Source organism: Homo sapiens, chromosome 3 (genome assembly GCF_000001405.40).
Source record: "Homo sapiens chromosome 3, GRCh38.p14 Primary Assembly".
NCBI classification, from domain to species: Eukaryota; Metazoa; Chordata; class Mammalia; order Primates; family Hominidae; genus Homo; species Homo sapiens.
The window spans coordinates 11,542,476-11,567,690 of record NC_000003.12 but is presented as its reverse complement, the minus strand read 5'-3'; the positions used below and the strand labels follow the sequence as shown (position 1 = coordinate 11,567,690).

Here is a 25,215-nt window from a genome sequence, read left to right as displayed (position 1 = left end):
GCGGAAGGTCTTCTGGTGACATCGGTGTCTGGGATCATAACCCTTGAGGCATTCATTGCAGAAACCTGTGCTGTCTTCTGAATCGCCACAGACAGATGACATTATGGACAGGCTGGTTTCAGTATTAAGGTTTTTAGTATTTTAACGTTTTGAAAATCGCCAGGATGTGTGTGGCGTGGATGGAACCTACTATCTAGACTCTGCCAGAACATTCTCTTCCATGATTGTCTTAATGGGCTGAACATTTAATCCTTAATTGCTTTTAAGATATTCTGTATCATCAGCCAGAAAATAAAGGGGAAGAAAAAAACCCCATAAACGAATACTGGGTCCTGTACAGCTAATCACCCTATAATCAATATACTCGGTTTAGGGCTGACAGGGTTCTCTTGGCGCTCACTGAGGGCTGCACTGCGCCGCTCTGATTGTTTTTGTTTGTGTGCTGTTTGTCCCCCATTTAGAGTCCTCTGGGTGGATCTTACTGTGACCACATGGTTACATGGGGACGCCGAGGCTCGGAACGCCTCGGGTCACTAAGCTGAGCGCGTGCCCCTGCTGGAGATGGCGCAGAATGACATCACAACATCACAGCCGAGGCTGCACTCAGGCCCCCTCTGGTGCTTCTCCTGCTCAGCCCTTAGCAGCTCACCGACTGGGCCGCAGGGTCCATCTAAAGGCTTGAATGCGCCTCCAGTTGACTCCTCAGCCCTCCAGCTCTCCATGATTCTGCCCACCCACAGTTCCACTCCACGATACCTGCCTTTCTTACACGGTCACCCATATGCTGCTTCTCTTCATTCACCCGTTAAGTCTCTGTGCACCCCTGGTAGCAAGCGTAATGAGACAGGAGGGACTCGACGCCCTCAGAGGCTGCCGTGTGTGAGGAGGGGCGGGTGCGTAGACGAAGAGATCATTGACGGTGGGGGATGGATTCTGTATTAAAGGTTTGCACGGGGCGCCTTGGGATTCTACACTGCAGCTGTGGTTGGCAGCGCAGGACGGGGAGGAGGGAGGCTAGAGCGGCACCGCGTGTACACAGCCACAGAGGCAGAGAGTGGCCGCATCTTATTTGAGGAATGGCAAGTAGATGGTTGGAACTACGGAACACAACATTTGGAGGCGTGAAGCCAGAGATGAGGACGGGAAGGTGGTCAGGCCCAGAGGCTACCAAGGCCCGTGCTGAGCTGCTAAAAACATTCACTAAGGGCTGGATGTGGTTGGATTTGCCTTATAAAGAGATTGCTCTGGAATGGATACAAGCAAAACACGAAATCTGAATAAGGTTGGTAGTTGTCTCATTGTCGATATCCTGGTTGTGATATTGTACTGTAGTTTTACAAGATGTCACCATCGCGGGAGTCAAGGTAAAGGGTGCATGGGATGGCCGTGTGTTGTTTCTTACAACTGAAGTTAATCTACAGTTTTAGAAAGGTACGCCTATCACATGCGTGTGTGTGTGTGGTGTGCGTGTGTGTAACATTCAGTGTGTGTGTAACATTCTGTGTGCATGCGTAACATTGTGTGTGTAACATTCATTGTGTGTGTAACATATTCAGCCAGTCCGGGACGGGGGCTGTGGCTGCTGCTTCACCAGGGCAGGCCTAGGCTTTTCTGCTAGTTAAGACAGGTGACTACTTGTAGACTCTGAAAATAATTTGTATTTCTTAAAATTCACTCAAATCATAATTCACCACCTTTTTCTTTAAATGACCAGCTCATGAGTTACGGAAAAAGGTTACTCTGTCAGCGGATAATATGGTGGATTGAAGGGGCAAGACCCAAGGCAGATGGAACTGTGGGACCCCTGGAATAAAGCAGGGAGGGTGGACCAGGGCTGGCCATGGCTTACCTGTGTGGGGTTGGTGTCTAATAGATGCAACACGTAACGCTGCCTTCAGACTAACACATCAGATGGAGGTGGTGCTGACTGTCTCACCTGGATTCCACGTGGCATCGCCTGGGTGCTCAGCACATGGCCAGGGCTAGTGATGGACCTTCTGGACGCAGGTCACTCCTGCTCGTGTGTCCTGGACGAGAGAGCTGCGCGCCGGCTCCCTACAGCACCCCGGGAACCCCAGAGCACGTGCCACCACATGTCAGCTGGGAGTCTGAGCTGATTATTCCACCACTCTTGAGTCTTGGGGTTCTGGTCTGGAAAGGGGATGGTGGCAGCATTGCCTGCTTAGTGCTGTTAGGAAGACGGGCTGAGCAGTACTGTGAGGAAGATGGGCTGAGCAGTGCTGTGGAGGCTTTGAATAGGGCCCTGCATGTAGGACGCAGCCAGTGACTCTGGATCGTTGTCAGCGTCCCCGTCCTGTCCAAATGGCAGGTCCTTATCGAACCAGCTTGGCCTCCAGCTCCCCAGGCTCCCAGGGAGTGGAGATTATTATAGAAGTGAACACAGAGTCAGGCAGAGGACGCCACTGAGTCGGGGGCTCCATCTTCTATGGAGCTGACTTTGGACTCCGCTGGCAGCAGCTTCTCCGGCACCCAGAGGCTTTGGTGTCCGGCTGACCCGGGCTGGCAACCGGCTCCTCATCGTGCTGCCCAGCCACACGACCTGAGCTTCAGGGTAAAAAATTAAATAAGCAACACGGAGTGCCTGGCGCACAGTCACTGTCCCCTTTGCCTTTGAGAAAACGCCCCCTGAATGCCCATTCCTCTTTTTCAGGAACAAGACTGCCAATGGAGACTGCCGCAGAGACCCCCGGGAGCGGAGCCGCAGCCCCATCGAGCGCGCTGTGGCCCCCACCATGAGCCTGCACGGCAGCCACCTGTACACCTCCCTCCCCAGCCTTGGCCTGGAGCAGCCCCTCGCACTGACCAAGAACAGCCTGGACGCCAGCAGGCCAGCCGGCCTCTCGCCCACACTGACCCCGGGGGAGCGGCAGCAGGTGGGCCTCTGTCTGGGAGGGTGGCGTGGGGAGTCCAGGGGCTGGGGGACTGGGCTGGATGGAGAGCCCCGAGCAGAGGACTCCGAGGGCGGTGGTGAGGGAGGGAGGTGGTGAGGGAGGGAGGTGGTGAGGGATGCCACCCTTCGCCTCTGTTGTGCACTTGGGACAAGGGACAGCAGAACAGGAGTCCTCTTCTGCTTTTACTTCCTGCCCAGACCTGCCCGGGCCTTGCCTCTTAGCACTCACGGCCTTGGGCAAGGTGAATGTCACTGGGGCTTCATCTCTTTCCTCTCCCAGTACAGGGGTGGTGTACTGAGGTGTTTCCTCCAGCAGTCTTCTGTGGCAGGCCTGATTCTCTTAGGATGAATGTAGTCATCCTCGGGTGGGGGGGTCCTACGTTTCTCCTTTAGACGGTCACGCGGATGAAGGGAAATGTCAGGTTGCTTTGCCTTGGGCTGGGGTCCTGCACAGTTGATGGTCACAGGGTTGTGAGCCCATGCTGGTCAGAAGCCTATGATTGGTACATAGGGATTTTTTTCTATGAAAGGAAAATAGGAAATTAAATGATTGCTTAATAAACACAGCTTGCTTGGTAGAAACAAATCTTTTTAAAAATGGGGTTCCTGGGGAAATATATGGGAGAAGGCAGCAGCATTGAGGAGGCTCAAAATTACTGCTTGAGCTCTCCGAATCTCCAGGGACTGCGACCTAATAGGTCCTTAGTCAGTAGTCAGCATTTGCTAAGACTGACAGAGAGGATGGTGCCGTGCCCCGAGGGGGTGCCTCCGGGCTCTGTGCATTCAGCTGCAAGAGCCTCTGTGTCCCTGTGGCCTCACCGGGGCTTCCCTCCAAGTGGCACTGCCTGGTGTCCGTGTCTGATGGGGTCTGTTGAAACTGTGGGTGGGGTAGGCCCTGGGAGTTGGGAGAGGTGGTTCTGGTGCTTGGGAATCCTGGTGAAGCTGAGAACAGTTGCCCATCTTGCCTCAGAGCCTGACATGGTAATCCTGTTTGTTTGATTCATCCATTTAACAAAATGGCACAGACCCCTGCTGTGTGCCAGGGGGTACCAGAAGCCAGTCAAGCAAGATGCAGTTTTTGTTCTCAGCACGCTCAGTTTTAGTCTGGAGGAGAGATCGCTGATGTGTCTGATGGAACCCGAGGCCAAGTTATCACTGCTGTTCATTTCAACGTTTTACGAGCGCTCACCATTTACCCAGCCCTCTGCAGAGCAGAGCTGTGGGCAGCCAGAGACGTGTGTGTGGACACTGTCACGGCCACAGGGAGCTCCCAGTCTAATTGGGGAAATGGACATGAGAAGAGAGGATTGTGCTGTTGGGCAGCAGCAGGGGCTGGAACAGAGGCGTGTGCGCAGTGCGACCCACAGGGACCCGCTCACTGCTCCCCGGGGTGGGCAGTGGACCTTTCTGCTTTGGGAAGCTCAACAGGCATTGTAATGCTGCCATGAGCCATGGCCTGAACCGTGCAGGCAGAACCTGGCTCTCTGGCCATTGCCACTGCTGTTGGGGAGTCCCTGAAGGACACGGGTATGGAGGGGAGGATTCAGCTGTAATCTCGGAGCACCCACATCCAGCCTCTGGCCCTTGATGACCTGGGGGACATAACTGTGAGCCTTACAAGCTATCTCTGCCCACATGGTCAGGGTGGGCCCTTGGCGGGCTTAGTGTGTTCTTGGATGATTTATTTCCTTGACTCTTCAGGGCTCTTGAGAATCTTGCAGTTGGTTTTCGGTCACAGTTGCTTTGCAAAAACTGAACTGCTGAACAGAGTGGCCTGACTCTCTTTACCCTGTCTCCCTCTCCCCAGCCTGGAATGGGCCTGGCTGCCCACGGCACACGTGGCAAGGGCCCCTCCTTGTGCCTTGGGGCTCCTGAGCAGCTTTCCTAGGAGGAAGAACCTCGACCCCCCAGCTATATCTTTATGGGATCCTGGCCTGGACTGAGGACAAAGCCAGGGGCCACGGGGTACCCCAAGCTGCCCATTTTCCTGGGAAGGGCACAGTGGCCCTGACCGGAGCTGTCATTTTCGGCTGGGGTTGGTCAGTCCTGCCCTCCTTGCCGTGGCTGCTGTCAGCACATGTCATTCATGTCGTAACCATTCGTGGGGCTCCTTCCTGCGGCAGCGTGGCGGGGCTGAGGCCATGCACACCAATCCGAGCTGGGCTCGGGCGCCCTGCTGAGGACACCAAGCAGCCACGTTGCCTGTGCTCCAGCAGCTCCGAGGTCTCTTCCTGGAAGTCTGTTGGGTGTCATCCTGCAGCTCAGAGCCAGGGAAATGGCAGTGGGGAGGGGGCTTCCTGGGGTGACAGCAAAGCTCTGTGTCCACAGGCAGGCAGGACGCATGCTGCAGCCCTGTGGGGTGGGCACGGTGGAAGCCTTCCTCTGTGTGGCAGAAAATGTGTCTCAGATCTCTGGGAACTGGGACAGGAAAGTTCCCAGAGGGGCATGTATGGGGAGGCTACAGAAAGTGTCCCCCCATTTCATGTTTGTGATAGCAGCTCAGGACAGACAAACACCAAGAGGGTGGCCTTGGGCAGCAGCCAGTGAGGAGAGGCAAGATGGGGTTAAGCTTCGCACATTGAGGGCTGGGCACAGTGGCTCACACCTGTAATCCCAGCCCTTTGGGGGGTTGAGGCGGCGGATCACTTGAGGCCAGGATTTCGAGACCAGCCTGGCCAACATGGTGAAACCCTGTTTTTACTAAAAGTACAAAAATTAGCCAGGCGTGGTGGTGGGTGCCTGTAATCCCAGCTACTCGGGAGGCTGACAGGAGAATCGCTTGAACCCGGAAGGCGGAGCTTGCAATGAGCCAAGATCGCGTCACTGCACTCCAGCCTGGACGACAGAGTGAGACTTTGTCTTTAAAAAAAAAAAAAAAAAAAAAAAAAGTTTGGCGCAGCCAGCCTTGGGGGTTGCTTTCAGATAGGAGAGGTGGTGGGAGCCCTCTCCCCCGGGGCAGCCTCTGTCTGAGGACAGTCACAGGTGGGTGGGACAGCGGGTGAAGGGGTTAGTGACAGGGCTCATACTGGCCCTGCCACAAATCCGCAGCGTAACTTCCAACAGGGTGTTTCTGGCCTTCATTTTCCCCATCTGGAAAATAAGGGTGTGGGGGAGGGGAGCCTCGGGATCCCATAAACGCTCACCATCTGGAGGCCTGGGGCCCGTTCTAGGTGGACGAGTCCCAGCCTGCACTCAACCACAGAGGCAGGGGCAAGATGCCTGACTCCAGCTGGGGAGGAGGGGTGGTGGAGCCAGTCCCACGAGGGCTCACGGGCCACCCTGCAGCCTGGGTTGTGGGGAGGAGGAGAGGATGCCCAGACACTGAACATCTTCACATCTGCAGGTGACCGGTTAAGGCAATTCGCCCCAGCTCAGGTCAGGAGATGCCCTGAAGGTGGTCTGATACCAGTCAGCCAGCCTGCCCTGCTGGTCCCTTGTTAGAGAGTCTCTTCTGAAGTGGCCTTTCCTGCCTTGGATAGACTGACATAAAGGCTGGACAGTGAGCTCATTTCTTCATCTTCCTTGATTCCCCCTCCCTGTGCTCGAAATGTCTCCCCAGTTCCCCACATTTGCGTGGGTCAGGACACGCTCGCTGCAAAGAACAAGCCGGCTGAGCACAAAAGGGAGTTTTATTGGGAGGACCCTGGGGGGGGGTCTCCTAGAGCCCAAGGTCATGGGTGCAGCCAGGCTCAGGAAGGGCCTGGCCATCTCTGAGAGCTGGACAGGGGCAGGGCCCTCCTTCCTCCTGGCTCTGTGCGTGTCCAGGTCTCGGTATTCTGCTCTCTTGCTGCTGCTTGACCCCTGTGGTCAGCCAGTGTGAGATCTGCTCCAGGCCTCATCTGTCGGTCCCCAACCCCCTTTCCGAGCCTGTCTGCTCAGCATTGTGAAGTCTCTCACCCGAGGCCCTGTCCACAGGCAGAACGTGGACATTCAGCCCAGCTCCACCTGCCCGGGTTCTCTCTGCGCTGCCACCTGTGCACACCATGGAGGCCGTACGAACCCTGGGCAGCTCTGTCCCGCTGCTAAGTGTCGGGCCACTAAGAAACCCTGAATTCTTGGTTGGTCTGCTGTTGCTAAGCCACATCCCCCCCTACCCTGGCATGTGTCGCTTCTTGTTAGACCCAAGCACAGGTCCTTGTGTTCAATCCCAGTTCATCCTTGTGGATCCACATTTTCATCCTAGAATCCACTTTCACCATTCCCAATCACTGTCGTCTATCATGAGAAGGTCTGGCATGCAAGCCTTTTGTGTCTTTATACCAGCTACTGCTCTAACTTTAATGGAAAGGGCTGGCTGGGGAGGATAAGGCCCAGCGTCCCTCTGGCTGACACTGCTGTCACCATTGGTCCCTGTGGGGTGATTTCAACCAGCTCCTTGCTGGCTGTCCTGGAACTTAGCCCACATACTCCACCACCTTGTCCTCGGGGGTATTGGAAGATACTTTTCCTGGGGGAACCTGAGGAAGTTCTGTTTAGTTCACAAATATTTTCTGTCCCAGGTTCCACACCAAAGCTGGGGGGCCAGACATACTGCCTGGTGTGCATGGTCTTACGGGAGCACCTGGACAGACCGATGCACTTGCTGAATCTTGGTGGGTTAGGGGAGCAGGAGTGAAAAGCGGTGGTGGTGGGGCGGTGGCCAGTGAAAGGCTTCAGAGAGAGATCTGAACAGGGCTTGAAGGAACAAGGGGAGTTTGCCAGGCAGACAGCGTGGGGGTGGGGGTGAAGGAGAGAGTGAGGCTGTGCACAGGGCAGATCGGGCTGGGGTGGGATGTGTGCCGTTCCACACTTAGGCATATTTCCTCCATTTCCTCTCTGTCCCGATTTGTAGGTCATCACTGAGGCCAACTCGAGCTGGCTTTGGCTCAAGCAAAATGCTTCCAGTTAATTGCCGTGTATTGAAGTGTCCTGGATGGCTCCAGGCACACCCGCGGCTCAGTGGACATGATGGGAAGGGCTCTGGGGACGTTAACGGGAGAATCGAGGTCCCTCCTGCAACCCTCTGTCCTCCACAGGATGCCCGGTGTTTGTCTTAACAGATTTGAGAGATGGGGACAGACCAACTCAACAGTTGAGCTTTTGTCCTTTGTACCCTCACTGATCCAAACAGCCACGACCAAGGGCCACTACACACACCCTTGGAGCTGCGCTCACTCTGTGGATTGGCTGTGTTTAGCAACAGGACTCCAGTATTGAAGTGGGAGGTGGCAGACTGGGTCAGGAAGGGCACCAGGACAGAGCCTGAAGGGTGCTGGGGAGGGCCCCAGGGGTGGTGCCCGGTACTGAAGCTGGTCTCCACATACTGACACCCCTCCTCCCCGCAGAACCGGCCCTCCGTGATCACCTGTGCCTCGGCTGGCGCCCGCAACTGCAACCTCTCGCACTGCCCCATCGCGCACAGCGGCTGTGCCGCGCCCGGGCCTGCCAGCTACCGGAGGCCACCGAGCGGTGAGTGTCCCGGGCCTCCTCACCTGTCACAGCTGTGCTAGTGGCAGCAGAGCCCTTCTCTGTCATGCTGTTGGCTGAAACCTCTCGCCCCTGAGCCCATCTATTGCTGAGGTTGAAAAAGTATTTCTTGAGCACGTCCAGTGTGCGCCTAGCGTTGCGCATGACTTGGGTGGGAAGGGCATGAGAAACACACCGCCTCGCTCAGTTCCAGGGTCTCATGCCCTAGTTGCAGGGAGGGCAGCGGCTACTGTTATTTAAATTTAATGCCACATTCTCTTTCTGAACTCGGACTCTGGCCCAGTGCAGTTGGTACATCACCATTTTACAGAAAAGTGACCTGCCCAAGTGCCTGACTTAGCCGGGGGAGGTGGGTTCTGTCTGCAGAGCCCACGCTGACCGTGGCAGCCAGTCCGGCTCTGGGCTGCCTGAGGGAGGGTGCTGCAACCGTGCCTGTCTGTCTGCAGCCACCTGTGTCTGACTGCCTGCCTTCCTGCTTGCCTGCAGCTGCCACCACCTGTGACCCCGTGGTGGAGGAGCATTTCCGCAGGAGCCTGGGCAAGAATTACAAGGAGCCCGAGCCGGCACCCAACTCCGTGTCCATCACGGGCTCCGTGGACGACCACTTTGCCAAAGCTCTGGGTGACACGTGGCTCCAGATCAAAGCGGCCAAGGACGGAGCATCCAGCAGCCCTGAGTCCGCCTCTCGCAGGGGCCAGCCCGCCAGCCCCTCTGCCCACATGGTCAGCCACAGTCACTCCCCCTCTGTGGTCTCCTGAAGGGAGCGCCTCCTCCAACAACACGTGGATCTGCATGGTTTGCCTGAGCTTTGAACAGTCAGTACTTAAAAAAAAAAAAATCATGGGGGTGGGGTGGGGGGAAGGGAAGGGATGGTTTATTTGCAAAAACCATGTTGTTGGGATTTGTGTTCTGTTTTTGTACTTGCTTGGTATCCGTACAAGGGGGCCCTCAAACATGATAGCAGGAACTACGCGTGGAACATCTGTCTAATGTAGCATCCTTACTTCCTGCCTCAGTTACCAAAGAAACCTCTGATGCAGGTCTGCTGCCCCGACGGGGCCAGGACTCCACAGCGCTTTCTCAGTCACAAGCCATGATGAATTGGTGACTCAGACGCTTTGTGCTTTTTCCTTTGCTTCTTGAGACCGGGGTGTGTGTGGCTCAGCTTCCACGGCGTGTTTGGTTCGGTCCATGTGTGTGCGTGTGTATACTTGAAGAGAACTGTCGTGTCTGATTTGCACTATTGGAGGAGGACTAAAGTTGCCTGACAACTTTATGTGTTATGCCAGAACTCTGAGGGCAAACTGCTGAAAAACAAAGGGTTTAAGGATGACATTTCTGACCATTTGTGTGTTTGTTGTTGTTACTGTTTTTGTTTTTTTTAATGTAGACAATACAGCTTTGGAAGGGGAAGTCTCATACAGGTTATAGGTCTTTCTCTCTCTAGATTTCAGGTGCTTGCAACTGGACTGCAGACTCTACCAATCACGGGCATTTTATCTTCTCTGAACACTGCAGTTTGTTAGACTAGAGCTGAGGTTGGAGGATTCCATAGTGCTTTAAACGTGATGCATGTTTTAATGGAGAAAAAATAGCTGGTTTCTATTAATTATATAGACAGTAAACAAAAACCTTAATACTTACTATCTTCTTTTCAGAATTAGTTTATTTTTGTCAGTTACAGTCCTAGATATACTTACTGCTGGTACAGTTGTACTCTAAGATTGGTATTTGATATTCACTTTACTCACAAGTAGTGCGGGAGGCCAGCTCCTGGCAGGCCCTCGCGATGAGCAGTGGGTCAGCTGCGGTGTGGGATGCTGGAGTTTGGCTGCAGGCTGACATCATTTATTTTTGCATCCCTGTCTGCTTTGTTACAAGCTCCCAGGGGAGGTGGGGTTTGTGTCTTCCAACTTCCCTACATGCAGAAACTGCTCCCTTTGAACTCTCTTGGCTGAACAGCAGATTACTGACAGACAATCTGTGATATGGTGTTTTATACGCTTCCTCGTACGCTGGGGCCAAGGCAGTATACATTCCTCTGACTTTATACTGTTATTACTGCATTTATTATTTGCTATATTAATAGCTACTAACTAGAAATTAGATGAAGCAAGCATGACAGACACAGCTGTGGAGGTCACAGCTGCTCCTTTTTGGTCAATGAGCGTTTCTATCCCCTCCCCCTGGGGTGTGCTGTGTCCCACCTGGCCCACCAGAGGCTCACGACGATGGCACCTGACCAGGTGACGTGGGCGTGGTCACCTCACCTGCAAGGCTTTGTGGACTCTGCACACCGTATGACCCCCGGTTTTACAGTTTTTAGCTGTTGAATTTTGGAAATTGGCACTGGGTGAAAAGGTCGGAGGACTGGCTCTTGTAGTCACAGAGTGGCTGCAGGCCTTTGAAAAGTGGAGGAAAGAAAAGCCCTTCTCCTTGCCCCGCACACATTTCACTCCCACTGTACTGGGCTTCCAAGCTTTGGCATTCAGGCCCCTATATTTTCTGTAGGAAAAATCGTTGAGAACACTTTTCTATATGGGTGATTTTGAGACCATCGTTACGCTGTGCGTAAAGAATGTACAGAGAAATTTGTAGGTATTTTTTGAAGAACATTAATTTGTTAATGATATGTAGCTATTTAATTTTTCCCTTTCCTATTGTAATCATTCATTTTTTTTGTTGTTCGGAAAAAAAAAGTTGATCTTTTTTTTTGTCGTAGATTTGTCTGTAAAAGTGCAGGAACAGTTATTCTATGAGAACACTGCATCTGCATTCATAGCCACGAGTTTGTTATTGCTACAGGCTACTGAGCGTCGTAACAGGAAAACCACCCACAGCTGACCGGCTCGGTGGAGGACACTCCTGGGACAGGTCTCTTTGTCAGTGAACAAGGGCGTCACTCTGGGAGGGGTCGGCGGTGCTGGCGGCCGGGTCCCTGGTGCACTGACCTATCTGGGATAGGCAGTACCCTGGAGGGGGGCCTGGGGCAGAGGAGGCAGCAGAAAACCAAACATTTCACTGAGAAAGCCCCCTCCCTGCTCTAAGAAGGGGCTCCGTGAAGTTCTTCCCAGAGCCGCGCTGCCTGCAGTGCGCTCTGACCTTCTCTTCATGTGTGTAAATCTGTAATATACCATTCTCTGTGGCCTGTTTTTCCTGGAAGAAGAAAAAAAAAGGTTTGGCAGGCCATCTTTTTTTGTACTTAAAAGTAGCCTTAAGAACAATAATAAAGTGCTCTTAAACCACATAGTGTACGTGTGCAGTTTCAGCGCCAGGCTGGGTGGGCGGACTCGGGCCCTGCACCTGTGCCGGCTGTGTCCCCATGAAGCTCCCATGAGCTGAACGACAGCCACTGGAACTTGGACTGGCTACTTTGGGAGAAGCGAAGCCTCATTTGAAATCTACCCTACTAAATCCTACTGTTGTAAGGGTCAGCTCGACTCAATTTTCACTTTGATTCTGGGCCTAAGACAAAAGCTGAAAGAATAAAATAGCAGGAAAGACGATGCCCTCTACACGGGGGCAGGGTGGTCACAGGTACCTAGGCCATGGCCTCTCCTGGGTTGGGGCCTCACAGCTGCACACACCCAGAATAAAGAGGAAAACCAGCTCTTGCCTGAGTTACCCATGGTAGAGCCGTCTGACCCCTCCCTCGGCTGGGGCAGGAAGGCAGCCCAGGCTCGGCCTTTCTGGGCCTGGCCTGCTCATAAGGGCAGGGAGGAGCCCCATCCAGGCAGCTGCCAGGATCTGCCCCTGGGCTCTTCCCCCCAGCTCAAGGCAGCAGCAGAAACTCCTCTCCCTCAAGCAGGCAGGCAGGCACAGATGCTATGCCCACAGTGGAGGACAGGCTGGGAGGCAGAAAGCCATGTCTGAGCAGCTCACTCAGTCCTTGGTGGAAATCTGGCGTCACTGGGTCATGTGGGCCCTTTAGTCTCGTACCCAGCTCGGCTCTCCTCCTCCTCCCGCTCCACCAGGGCCAGGGTGCAGTGCGCTCACGGGGTCCCACCCTCACCCATGCCCAGGGCCCCCACAGGAGGAGCCTGCGGTGCGGTGGGCAGCACATTCCGGGGATGAGGGTGCCACCTCCCGCAGTGGCTCTGGGCAGGAGCTGGTTGCTCATTTCCCCATTTGGTCTGTGTTGGGTCACCCCCTCAGGGCCAAGGGGAAAGGATCCTGGGGGATGGCTATCAGTCACTGTGACAAGAAATAAAAACTGCATGGAGGACCAAGTCCCAGGTCAATAGCAAGGCCAAGGCCAAGGTTATTATTTAGCTCTGAACTGGTGGTATCTTGAATCCCGAGCAACGCCGAACACTGGCCACTCCTGGGCAGCAGAGGGGGGAATCCCAGACCTCGGGGTATGGAGGAGGGGCCCAGAATCACCAGGCCTGGGGTCAGCAGTCCTGCTCTGGCGATGGAGAGCTCCTCAGCAGGCGGCCGGGGAGAAGTCAGCCCCACAGCGGGGCCATCTCAGATGGTCTCATCATCGCTCATGTCCCAGATCTGCATGGAGAAGGGGAGAGGCTCAGCCGAGATGTCCCACTGCCCGGTGGGGGGCACACAGATGCTTCAAAACCGCAGCAGTCATGGCAGCTCCCACCTGCAGAACCACTCCCTTGTTTCTGAGGGACTGTCACCCCATTTCTGTACAAGGAAACCAAATCTCAGACTTGCCAAGGCGTCACTAGTGTGTGAACCACCTGGTGGAACCAACAGGGGAGGGCTGGGATTTGCACTGGGGAATGTGCCTCTGCTCACCTCCTGCATGTCCACCTCGGGGGACCGTCCCTGACCCAGCCAGCCTCTGCTCATCCTGGCTTCTGCAGCACTCACCCCCACCCCAAGCCAGCTTGTTCTCCTTGTGGTCCACCTGCCCTCTGGAAGGCAAGCTCCCTGAGGGCAGGAATTCTGGCATGGGCACGTGCTGCCTTGGGAGGCTGCACCCTGGGCACCTGCTCCATGTTCCCTCTAACTGTAGTCCAGCTGCCCACACTCCCAACTCACACTAGAGAGCTGGCTCAAGAGCAAGCCCTCCCCACCAGCCAGGGTGGAGGTGGCCTGGAGCAAAGACAGTGGAGACAGCCAGATCCTGCCACAGTCCCTCAATGCGTGTCCTCCGAGTCTGAGCCTCGCAGTGAACCTGGGGAGCAGGAGGCCCCAACGTGGCTGTGAGGAGAACTGAGGGACCCAGCAAGAGCCACCCTGGCCGACACCCCCATGGGCCCAGGCCCATTCATTCCCTGCAGTCCTTGGTGTCAGCCCCCAGGGAGAGAGCCCAAGGCCAGCACAGCAGGTCCCAGGGCCCCTGGCACCCAGGGCTCCCTGGAGGGCCAGTCCCTGAACCTACGCCTTCAGACTTCCAAATTCCTAGAATTGGTTGCAAAAGGCCACCTCAGTGCTAGCAGAGCTGAGAGAAGGAACAGCATGTTTACACGAGGCTGGCCCGGGGAGATGGGAGGCCTGGCCAAGGTAAATATCAACACCAGCTTGGCTTTCAAAGTCGAGGATGTCGAAAATAAATAGAAGGAAATTTCCTCTCTCCTGAGGACCCAGCTCCCAGGCTGAGGGGAGGCAGCCTTCTCACTGCCCCTGTCTCCCGAGGCCAAACTATCTGAGCTCTTGGGAGGGGACTGCCAAGCGAGGTCTAGATGCCAGCCCAGCCAGGCTGTGGATGGGCCGGTCTGCGGTCCAGTGACCAGGTGTCCCTATCTCTGGGTCAGGTCCCCACCGAGCTCATCCTCAGTGCGGCTGGAAACTCCCCCAGGGTGGGACTGAGCAGTGCAGGGCAGGGGAGCTGTGTTTCTAACAAAGGTTGCATTTAGGAGCTCCTGGATCTGATCTCTGGGTTCTGATGGTCCGAGTGGAAGAAACTGAGCCCCTGGAGGGTTTGCCAGCACAATCCATCCATTCTTTCACTCTCCCATTCAACGAACACACATTCATGTAGCCAGCTCTGTGCCACACGCTGTGTAGACCTGCTGCGAATACTCCCTCTTTCACTCCTCACATCTACCTGTGAGGTGACCTCACATCTACCTGTGAGGTGAAGATGGAAACAAGCCCAGAGAGGTAAGGCAATTGGCCTGAGATCACACAGCAAGCAAGCTTCAGTGCTGGGAACCAGGGGTGTGTGGAAAAGGGCGGGGCGGGCTGCCTGGAGGAAGGGGCCGAGGTGGGAGGTGATGGGGCAAGATGGAGAATGAAAAGGGTGAGCATTGTGGGCCGTGTCCTCCGGGACCTCCTGCCCAGCCTCCTTGGAGGGCTGCCAGCCTGGGCAGGGCAGGGTCAGTACCAAACAGCAGTGCCCTCTGCAAATGGGTGGTTGGGGTTGTTCTGTTCATAAGAGGACTCGGGCCTGGGCCGGGGCTGGGCTTTATAGGAAAGTAGAAACTTTCAGGGAGGTGTTACCCATTTTATCATCCATTTTACTGGGTTTTTAGCTATGGGGAAGAGGCATAGGTGCTCAGCCACACTGGGACTGGGTGGCCTGGGACTGGCCCTGGAAGGTGCCTGGCTGACCCCTTGCTCCTGGACAGATTGAGCCACTCGAGGGGATGCGGCTGCTGGCAGTGCCTGAGCTGTGCAGGGGATCCTGCGAGACACCCAGAAGACTTATTGTGCGGGGATTATTATTTTGTAAAATGCATTTTACAAAACCACTCAGGGATTTTCCAGAGCGAATCTCTGGGGCAGGGACGGGCTCTCCACTGGCTTCGTCCCATTGGCTGGGCTCAGAGGGCAGCAGCCATCTTCATTTGAAACCTCAAGAAATAACCAGAACAGGGACTCCTGGGGATAGGGACAGGGACTGGAGTGGGACTGGGGGCTGGGATCTGCAGGCTCTACTGTGTCCTCACCGCAGCTGTGTCCTTGGCAGTGCAACTGGTGTGGAGAAGGGGCACAGTGAATGTCCTCTTAGTGAAGATCATAGTAAACTGGCACATTTTAAAAAATATCAATACTCAGTGCCGACAAGGGTATGGCAAAACACTGCCACAAGAGAAGTATAAATTGGTACCATATTTTTTAAAAGATTTGGCAATATGTAATACAAACCTTTAAAAACATTCAACCCTAAGGAAAAATGATCTCTTTGTAGGTAATATCAAAGCACACCTGGAAACCCCAATAAAATAAGTGCTAAGATATCCTTAGAATACAAATGAAAAAGTATTTAGTAAGAGCAAGATATAAAATTGACAACAACCAATTATAACCCACCACATGCAGTGCAAACAATGTTTAGTTCAAAACAGAATGAAAGAGGCCGGGCGTGGTGGCGCACGCCTGTAATCCCAGCACTTCGGGAGGCCAAGGCGGGTGGATCACTTGAGGTCAGGAGTTCGAGACCAGCCTGGCCAACATGGTGAAACCCCGTCTCTACTAAAAATCCAAAAATTAGCCAGGCGTGGTGGTGGGCACCTGTAGTCCCAGCTACTTGGGAGGCTGAGGCAGGAGAATGGCTTGAACTCAGGAGGTAGAAGTTGTAGTGAGCTGAGATCGCACCACTATACTCCAGCCTGGGCGACAGGGTGAGACCCTGCCTCGAGAAAAAAAAAAGAAAAGAAAAGAACCCATTATATTGGCTGGGCACAGCGGCTCGTGCCTGTAATCCCAGCACTTTGGGAGGCTGAGGCGAGTGGACTGCTTGAGGCCAGGAGTTTGAGACCAGCCTGGACAATAGAGCAAGACCCTCTCTCTATAAAAATAAAAACTTTAAAAAAAATTATAAAAGCAGTGAAAAAGCTAAACACATGGGAATAAACCTAACATCGGATGTACAGAATCCATATGAAGCCTCTAAAACAGCTGCGACAGTCCTAGAAGAATCTCTCCTGGAAAGACGTAAACTGGAGTAGATAGAGCCACACCCCTTGTTTCTGCATAGGACGATTCAACATCCATAAAGATGTCAGCTTTCTCAAAGTGAATACATTAACAAAGTCTCAATTTTCAAAGTTAACAAATGTTTTCTGGAGCCGGGCGAGCTGGTTCTAGGCTATGTGGAAAAACAGGAAGCAGACACACCCAGGAAACCCTCCGAACAGAAGAGCGGTGAGAAGCCCCCACCATGGGCCGAGGGAGACGCCATGAAACCCCCGAGGAGGAGAGGGTGCGTCAGCACGGAACACTCAGACGGCCCGCAGGACACGACGAGTACAGAAACGAGAAGACCATGTCCAAGAACATGTGGAAATCAAGGATTTTAATGATAATGGCCTGGGGAGTGCCATCTCGGCTCATTACGAAAAGATAGACTTTTTAAAAAACTGATATGAAGAGAAGTAGAGAGTCACTTGGAAAAAGATAAAATTGATTCCATGCCTTACCCCGCATGTTAGAATCAACTCCAAATGGGATAAAAATCCAAACGTTAGAGAAAATGAAACCATAAGAATACTAGATACAAACACGGGTAAGCTCATTATAGCCTGGGAGTAGGGAAGGCCTATGATCCCAAATCCATAAGCAATAAAAAAATGGATACACTGGACTCTGCAAAAACACATGCATGCAATATGCACGGGAAAACAGTCAAAAAGGCAAACTGAGAGAAAACATAACAACATACCATAAAGGGCTCATCTCGGTAATAGACAAAGAGCTCTTAGAAATCAAGAAGAGAGGCCAGGCATGCCTATAATCCCAGCACTTTGGGAGGCTGAGGCGGGAGGATCACTTGAGCCCAGGAGTTCAAGACCAGCCTGGGCAACATAAGGAGACCCTTTCTCTACAATAATTTTTTAAAAATGAGCCAGGCATAGTGGCATGTGTCTGTAGTCCCAGCAACTCAGGAGATAGGAGGATGGTGTGAGCTTGGGAGGTAGAGGCCGCAGTGAGCTGTGACTGCACCACTGCACTCCAGCCTGGGCAACAGAGAGTGAGACCCTGTCTCAAAGAAATAAATAAAATTCAAGAAGAGAAAGACCAATAGACCAAATTTTTAAAAAGTGGACAAAGACACGGCCAGTTCTCAGAAAAAATAAGCAAATGGCCCTTAAACAGAAAAAAAAAGATGCACAGCCCTACTCATAATAAAGGAAATGCAAAGGTTTCTTAAGACACAAAAAGTACTAACCAGAAAAAAAAATGGGTTTGCATTTCACAAGAATTAAAATTTCTGATCTTGGAAGGATACCACTGAGAAAATGAAAAGGCAAGTTGCAGACTAGGAGAAAATATCTCTATATTAAAAGAACTTGTATTTAGAAAATAAAGAGAACTCTTACAACTTAATAATAAAGAGACAAAAACTTGATTTTTGGGGAAAAGATTGGAAGAGAAACTTCACCAAAGAGGAAATATAATGGCAAATAAGAAAAGACGTGCAGTTTGCAGTCCTCAGGGAAATGCAAATCAAAACCATAAAGAGACAGTGCACCCCACCTCCTCGGAGAGCTGAAGCTAAAGGCCAGCGATGCCCGATGTCTGTGAGGATGTGGGGCAGGAAGGGCCCACACACTGCTCCTAGTGGGGATGGAAACTGGCAAAACCACTTTGGAGGAAGGTCTAGTGACTGTTTAAGTGTGCGCTCACCATGTGATCCAGCCATTCCACTCCTGTTTACTCCAAAGAAACGAAAACACATGTCCACAGAAAAACTTGAGCCAGAATGTCCGCAGCAGTCTTACTCAGAATAGGTACAAACTAGAAACCACACAAATGATCATCAACGGGAAAGCAGAGAAATTGTGGTGTATCCGTACAGTGGATACTCCTAAGCCATTAAACTACTGATGGGTGCGACAACACATATGAATCTCAGTGTCTTTATCCTGGGTCAAGGAAGCCCAACTGGAAGGGGTGGGGAATGGGGTCGAAGGGTACGAGGGGTACAAGGTGGCAGTTACGTAGTATGAATAGTCTGGAGGTCTGATATACAGCACAGGACTACTGTTAATCATGCTGGACTGTACACTGGAAATTTGCTAAGAGTAGATTTTAGGTGCTCTCACCACATGCTATGGGAGTTCACAGATGTGTTAATTTCCTTGACTGTAGTAACCATTTCACTATGTGATATAAAGATACCTTACACACTTTGAATATATACAGTTTTTAAGAAAACAACCCTAACACAGAAGACATCATACTTCATATTTCATTTATATGAAATCCTACAAGGGCAAAAACCCATCTGTGGTGACAGGAAGTAGATAATTTGTCACAACTCAACAAACTGGACACTTAAAGTGGGTGTATTTCATTGTATGTAAATCACACAATACAGCTGATTGAAAAAAAAAAAGCTGCACTGAGATAACGCTGGCAAGAACCTCACTGCTTCACAATATGTTCTGTTTGTGAGCCTGTGGTGGAACCACTCTCATACCTCCCTGGTGACACACAGAGCAGTCCAACCCCTGCAGAGGACAATCTGGCAACAGCCACGATTCCTACGGCTTAACTTTTGACCCGGCCGTCTCACTTTTAGGAGTCTGTCCTGAAGACACACCTCCACTATACGAAAGGATATTATCCCCTGCTGCATGATCTCTTACAGGAAAAGACTGGGAACAGGCCCAAGAGGCCCTCAGCGGGGAACCAGCTGACTAAACCATTTGATGCACATCCACACCTGGACTACTGTGGCCCTGAAACACAGTGAGTTCAATCGGCTGATACGGGGGCTCAGTTCCGGGATTTCTTTAGTGAAAGAAAAGAAGAAAGAAATGCAGAGTATCTGTAGCATACCACCTTTGTTTAAGAAAAAAAGGTTTTTAATTTTGCAAATATAAACACAGGAACGATAAAAGGAGAAATTAATTTAAATGCCTCCCTATAGAGGGCAGGTGGGGATGAAGGCGAGACTGCTCTGAGCATGCCTTTTAATTTTGAATCATATATCTTATATATTTTAAAGACTAAAAAAGGAAACCAAAAATACAAGCAACAACAAAATAAGTAAACTGGAGTTAGTCAAAATTTAAAATTTTTGTGCTTCCAAGGACACTATTAAGAAAGAGAAAAGATAGCCACAGAATGAGAGAAAATAATTGCACATCATGTATCTGATAAGAGACTTGTATCTAGAATATATAAAGACAGGAGTTTGAGACCAGCCTGGGCAACATAGTGAGACCCCATCTTTAAGAAATTAAAGAAAAAATACAAAGGCCATTTACAACGCAATAATAAAAAGAAAACACAATTTAAAAATGTGGCAAAAGTCCAAGCGTGGTGGCTCATGCCTGTAATTTCAGCACTTTGGGAGGCCAAGGTGGGAAGGTCACTTGAGCCCAGGAGTTCAAGACCAGCCTGGAAAACACAGGGAAATCCTGTCTCTATCAAAAAAATTTAAAAACTAGTTGGGTGTGGTGGTGCACACCTATAGTCCCAGCTACTCTGGAGGCTGAGGTGGGAGGATCCCTTGAGCCCAGGAGGTCAAGGCTACAGTGAGCCATGACCATGCCACTTACACTCCAGCAAGACCCTGTTTCAAAAACAAAACAAAACAAAAAAAGGGGCAAAGATGTTGGATAGACATTTCTCCAGAAAAAGACACAAATTGCTAAGAAGCACATGAAATGATACTCAAACATAATTAGTCATCAGGAAAATGTGAATCAAAACCATAAGCTACCACTTCACACCCACTAGGATGGCTGCAGTGAAAAAGCCAGATCATAGTAAGTGTTGACAAGGATGTGGACAAACTAGAACCTTCATACGTTGCTGCTGGAAATGTGAAATGGTTCAGCCACCTCATAAAAAACAGCTGGCAGTTTACCCCAAAAATTAAACACAGTTACCATATGGTACAACAATTCCAGTCCTAGGTAACTGCCCAAGAGAAATGACAACGTGTCCACATAAAAACTTGTACACAAACACAGTAGTATTCATAGGAAAGTATTCATAAAAGTTAAACGTGGAATTCATAATAGGAAACGAGTGGAAACAATCCAGTTTCCACCAACTGATGAATAAATGAAACGTGGTCTGTCCACACAGGGGAATGTCACTCAAACCCCTGCCTCCACTCTCTTCCCGGCAGCCCTGAGGACAATGGTGTCACATGTTTGCCCCCATTTTACAAAGTAGGGGACTGAAGCACAGAGAAAACAGCAGAACTTGTCAAGGAGACCAAGCTAGCAAGGGCGAAGGAAGAGGCCTTTTCCACTTTCTCTCACTACTTCCTGTTAAACATAATTCCCTCTAAAGACGATTAAGGACAGTCTCTGATTCTGCCCTCTGGGCCCCAGACACTCTTCCATTCACCGCCTGTCACGCAAATGCACAATAGGTGCCCAAGAGCAACAGCACACACCCACCAGCACCATGAATAAACCTGGGCAGCCGAAAGGACAGGCCAGCTCCTGACCTGGCTCCCAAGTCCCCACCTTGGTATGACCCAGTTCAGAAGGCAGAGCCCATGGCTTGGACAGTTAGGGAGAGGATGGCATCAGCCTGTGCTGCTCTCCGCTGGCAAGGGTGGGCTCAGCCCCTCTGGTCAGCCTGACCTGAGCACCTCAGCGCTCCCCACTGGCCGCTGCCCTGCAATGGAAGAGGGCAGGGATGGGCTGCCACTCTGCATTAGGGGAAGAGGGACCTTTCAATTGGGCCCATCACAAGGAATGAGGGAGAAGGCTCAGCCTGGACCACACACACCCAAAGGGCCTTGAGGTTTAACTCTCTCCAAAGGAGACAGACGAGTTTGAAAGGAGCCCTCATCATCCAATTTCAAACTTGGGTCCCATTTCTGGACCACACTGCCTGAAGCATGCCATGAACTAAGGTTCTTCTTTTATAAACACTGTAATTACCTTGGGAATGGCACAATTATATTTCTGTGTGTCCGTTAAAAGCGTTCATTTGTTAAATGTAAACATTTAAAATAAGGCTGGGCGCAGTGGCTCACGCCTGTAATCCCAACATTTTGGGAAGCCAAGTCAGGCGGATCACCTGAGGTCAGGAGTTCGAGACCAGCTTGGCCAACATGGCAAAACCCCCTCTCTACTAAAAATACAAAACTTAGCTGGGCATGGTGGCATGTGCTTGTAATCCCAGCTACTCGGGAGGCTGAGGCAGGAAAATTGCTTGAACCCGGAAGGAAGAGGTTGCAGTGAACCGAGATTACGCCACTGCACTCCAGCCTGGGTGACAGAGCAGGACTCCATCTCAAAAAAAAAAAAAAAAAAAAAAAAAAATCCAGTTTTGGCATTTCTTTACTTTTTGAGACAGGGCCTCACTCTGTCACCCAGGCTGGAGTGTGGTGCCATCTATAACTCACTGCAGCCTTGACCTCCCAGGCTCAAGCAATCCTCCTACCTCAGCCTCCTTAGTAGTTGGGACTACAGGCATATGCCACCACAACCAGCTAATTTTTTATATTTTGTGGAGATGGGGTCTCCCTATGTTGCCCAGGCTGGTCTTAAACTCCTAGGCTTAAGCAATCCTCTGGCTTGGCCTCCCAAAATGCCTCCGGGAAACAATGGGGGTATGGGGGTGCTAACCCCCACTTCTTCTGCAGGAGGCTGCTAGTTTGCTAGCCCTTACTGAGCACTGCCAGGGGGTGGCTACAGGGACTAGAGGAGAAAAAGGAGAGGGGACATCCAGAAGATGATTCCAAGGAAGAACCGCCAGGGGGGCTGACAACAGAGAGACACACGCCCAGGAGAGCTAGGCCTGGCAGGGCTGCTCGGGACACGGAGCCCAAGCACAGCCCCGAGGCCCAGAGAGGGGACAGGGCTGGCGGGGCTGCCAAGGCCAGAAGGCTGTGGGTTAGGGCTTGGTCCGTGAAGTCCTAGGTCAGGTTTATGGACAAGAAGAGACAGGGAGGTGGCCTGGCAGGGGCAGGAAAGAGCAGAGAGGAAGGAGCGGCTGCAGGCCGTGGAGACTCTCCAGCCGGGAGCCGAGGATGGGAGGCAGGGCTCGCTCCAGGGTCACTGCGCAGGCTCTCGATGCCCACAAGAGAAGGATCTGTTGTCCCCACAGGTATCCGTCACCGTGGTTCTTCTGGGGTGTCCATAAGCCTCTGGCACTGTTCCACCCACAGGGCATCAGACTGAATTTCTCAAAAAAACAATCCCATCATCTTTCCCAAGTTTTGCAGCCTTCAAAATCTTCCCCTTGCACAGAGGGAGAGTGAAGTCCAAACTCTTCAGGGCCCTAGGCCCCCAGCCCTGGCCCTGCACACCCCTCCAAGCTCCCCACCCCGGCACCCTCTCTCTGGCCCACCAGATTCCAGCGGCCGCAGCCTCCTGGCTCTCCCCTTGCTCAGCCTTTTCACAGGCTTCTTTGGCTTAGAAAGCTCCTCTCCGCAGCCCCTCCCACACAGCTGGCTCCGCTGGGTCTGCAGCGACTTCCCTGCTGGCCTACCTTATTCTCAGCCCTCTTGGTTCCTCCTGCGACCCCACCATAATTTGCTGTCACCTTGTAGTCTGTGCATCTGACTTCCCCAGGGGACTGCGTGCTGCGTGAGGGTAGGGCCTGGTCTGTCTGGTCACCACTGTATCCCCAGCCCCGGCTCAGAGCCTGGTCTAGTAGAGAGGCTTTGCAGGAACAATGATTCAGAACCATCTGTTCTGGATATGATTCCATAGGGCAGAAAAGAAAGGGGGATTTTTGGTGTGACCATAATACCTGAGACACACACAGTCAAGGGCGGGCCCCTCGGCCCAGCTGGCTTCTGAGGACTCCAGCACGTCAGGCCCTTGGACTCCAGGGCCCAGAAGGACAGGGGTGGGCGGGGGCAAGCACTGTGAGCATCCCCAGGCGGGAGCAGCTGGGGTGGCAGGCCAGCTTTCTGAGGGAAGTCTGGGTCCCAGGCCACTGACGCCCTCATTCCCCTTCCTGGCCTCACTGTGGGTTGGCTCTGGGCCAGAGGCCACAGGGACACACAGCGGTGGGTACTTCTTGCTTCTGGACTCTAAGAGGCCCCAGGCAGGATTGGGGCTGGTCAGAAAAAGGGTGCTCTGCAAGGCAGTAGCTGTGGGGCTCTGCAGATGGGGGGCCTCACGGGTTAACCATTTCCCTTGCTGGACCCAGGTCTGCTTTTGCAGCCATACCTGGGCCCTGGAGAGGGCCACAGGGAAGTGCTGCCGGGTGAAGGCCCAGGGTCTGACTTCCTGGCTCCCAGATTCCTGCCCGGAGCCCCATCGCAGCATGGGGACCTGGGGCAACTCAGAATTAGCCCTGCCTACTCTCACAATGAATCCAGAAGCAAAAGCTCCCAGATCCCTTCACCCCTGGGCCAAGGATGGCCGGTGTGACTGCTTCAGACTGCTGGTGCGGGCAGATGAGCAGCCTGAAGGAGTGAACCAAGAGGGAAGGGAGCAGGCAGACTGCACAAAGCAGGGAAGGCCAGAGCAGATGGTGAGGCCAGCCTGGGGCTGATGGTTCATGCCCTGTAGGGACTTGGGTGCCCTTGATGTCTGCTGCCAGCAGCCCCAGCCCTTGCCCCTGCCCACCCTCCATCCCCAGCCTGTCACCATCCTTCAGCAGAGATGAAATGGGTCCTCCCCCTCCCGTCCCCAGAGGTCCGCGGTTCAAGCAATTCTCGTGCCTCAGCCTCCTGAGTAGCCGGGATAACAGGCGTGCGCCACCACGCCTAGCTAATTTTTTGGTATTTTTAGTAGAGATGGGGTTTCACCATGTTGGCCAGGCTGGTCTCCAACTCCTGACCTCAGGTGATCCGCCCACCTCAGTCTCCCAAAGCACTGGGAGTACAGGCATGAGCCACCGCGGCCAGCCTTGTGCTCCTCCTAACACACCACCCCGGTGCCTCCCTTTGGAAAGACACCCGCCTGCCTTCCCACTCTTGTACTCTAAGCACTCACTGCCTCCTCGAGCCTGGGCACCAGACTTGGCAGAGGAATTAAGACCAAACCCCTCTTCTCAGGGAACCATTGCCCCAAACTCAGCTCTCCAGACACAGGCAGCTGAGGGCTGAGGCAGGGGGGAAGATGGGAGCAAGAAGGAAACAGAACTGTGGGGGCTACTTCTAGTCTTCTGAGGGAGGAGTTCTCCCAGCCTTTCCAACCCCAGCCCCCTGCTGCCAGTCCAGAGAGCACGTGCACTGCCCCATGACACCCACTGCTCCGGGGTTCCAGGAACAAGGTTAAGGTTCTACTACAAAGACAGTCATGGCCAAGGCGGCTGGTAAGATGTAAAGCGTGACTTACACAAGGAACATCGGGCAGCCAGGGATGAGGAGATTAAAAGGAGAAAACGACAGGTTTCATGTTGGCAGGGTGGGGCTGCTCCTGCACCGTGGGGTCGGTTGGAGGACGCCGCCATCTAACTGTGGCCTGTGCAGCTGATTAAAGGCACCTCCAGGGAGGGGGGCAGCAGACCAGGCCTGTGCACACGTGTGGGCTGGCATGCCACCTCCAGAGGCATTCCATCCCCCAAATCCTCCCCACTCCCCCTACAAAGATGCTCAGGGCTGCAACTGACAAGGAGCTAGGAGTCTGAAGGAACAGTCTCATGCCTCAGAACCTAGACCCAGAGGAAGGTCAGCACCTCCGAGCTACACTTGAGGCACAGGTTATGCTCAGCCGTTCCAAACGTCACCTTCTTCACTCCCAAGAACAGAGCCCAGGCTGGAAACAGAGACCTGACGCCCGGGAGGGGGTGCCCGGGAGGATGCCCAGGGGACTGTCATCTTAAAGGAGGAGCAAGAGGGAAGCAGAGGGTGGTTGAGAGCAGCTACTAGGCTGGGAAAGAGGAAATATGGAAGACCAGATGAGAAAAAAGGGTCAGTGTAGCAGTGGGGATACTGGTGTCTCCAGGGACCCAGGTGAGAGGTACACGGGCCACAGGAAGGGCCATGGCCCATGGCAAGGTACATCTGCCGGTGTCTTTTGTTTTTCCCTCCCAGGAAGTGCTAAGAA

At 52.8% G+C, this 25,215-nt stretch overlaps 2 protein-coding genes across 28 annotated transcripts in view, besides 3 other annotated features; one reads left to right on the top strand and one right to left on the bottom strand.

Annotated features, from left to right (window-relative positions):
• VGLL4 (vestigial like family member 4) overlaps window positions 1-11,624 on the top strand; it is a 165,749-nt gene extending 154,125 nt beyond the window's left edge. For 7 of the 15 annotated variants that reach the window (XM_047449259.1, XM_024453835.2, XM_024453836.2 and 4 more), the window contains 3 exons: window positions 2,672-2,894; window positions 8,236-8,359; window positions 8,864-11,624. In XM_047449259.1, coding sequence (XP_047305215.1) covers window positions 2,672-2,894; window positions 8,236-8,359; window positions 8,864-9,135 — 619 coding nt within the window. In that variant the 3' untranslated portion in view covers window positions 9,136-11,624. Of the gene's footprint in view, window positions 1-2,671; window positions 2,895-8,235; window positions 8,360-8,823 lie in introns of all 15 variants that reach the window. The other 8 variants (NM_014667.4, NM_001284390.2, NM_001128219.3 and 5 more) reach the window with 2 other exon arrangements.
• Window positions 1-25,215, bottom strand: part of ATG7 (autophagy related 7) — a 303,957-nt gene that overhangs the window by 8,663 nt on the left and 270,079 nt on the right. For 10 of the 13 annotated variants that reach the window (NM_001349232.2, NM_001349233.2, NM_001349235.2 and 7 more), the window contains one exon: window positions 10,026-12,880. In NM_001349232.2, coding sequence (NP_001336161.1) covers window positions 12,848-12,880 — 33 coding nt within the window. In that variant the 3' untranslated portion in view covers window positions 10,026-12,847. Of the gene's footprint in view, window positions 1-1,849; window positions 3,433-10,025; window positions 12,881-25,215 lie in introns of those variants that run through there. The other 3 variants (XR_007095622.1, XR_007095623.1, NM_001349238.2) reach the window with 3 other exon arrangements.
• Window positions 20,337-20,836: an enhancer, noted in NCBI's record as "H3K4me1 hESC enhancer chr3:11588329-11588828 (GRCh37/hg19 assembly coordinates)". NCBI's record gives its function as "activates a minimal SCP1, AML or CMV promoter by ChIP-STARR-seq in naive H9 embryonic stem cells {active_cell/tissue: H9 hESC(naive)}" and the evidence as "EXISTENCE:reporter gene assay evidence [ECO:0000049][PMID:30033119]".
• Window positions 20,837-21,338: an enhancer, noted in NCBI's record as "H3K4me1 hESC enhancer chr3:11587827-11588328 (GRCh37/hg19 assembly coordinates)". NCBI's record gives its function as "activates a minimal SCP1, AML or CMV promoter by ChIP-STARR-seq in naive H9 embryonic stem cells {active_cell/tissue: H9 hESC(naive)}" and the evidence as "EXISTENCE:reporter gene assay evidence [ECO:0000049][PMID:30033119]".
• Window positions 22,115-22,682: an enhancer, noted in NCBI's record as "H3K27ac-H3K4me1 hESC enhancer chr3:11586483-11587050 (GRCh37/hg19 assembly coordinates)". NCBI's record gives its function as "activates a minimal SCP1, AML or CMV promoter by ChIP-STARR-seq in naive H9 embryonic stem cells {active_cell/tissue: H9 hESC(naive)}" and the evidence as "EXISTENCE:reporter gene assay evidence [ECO:0000049][PMID:30033119]".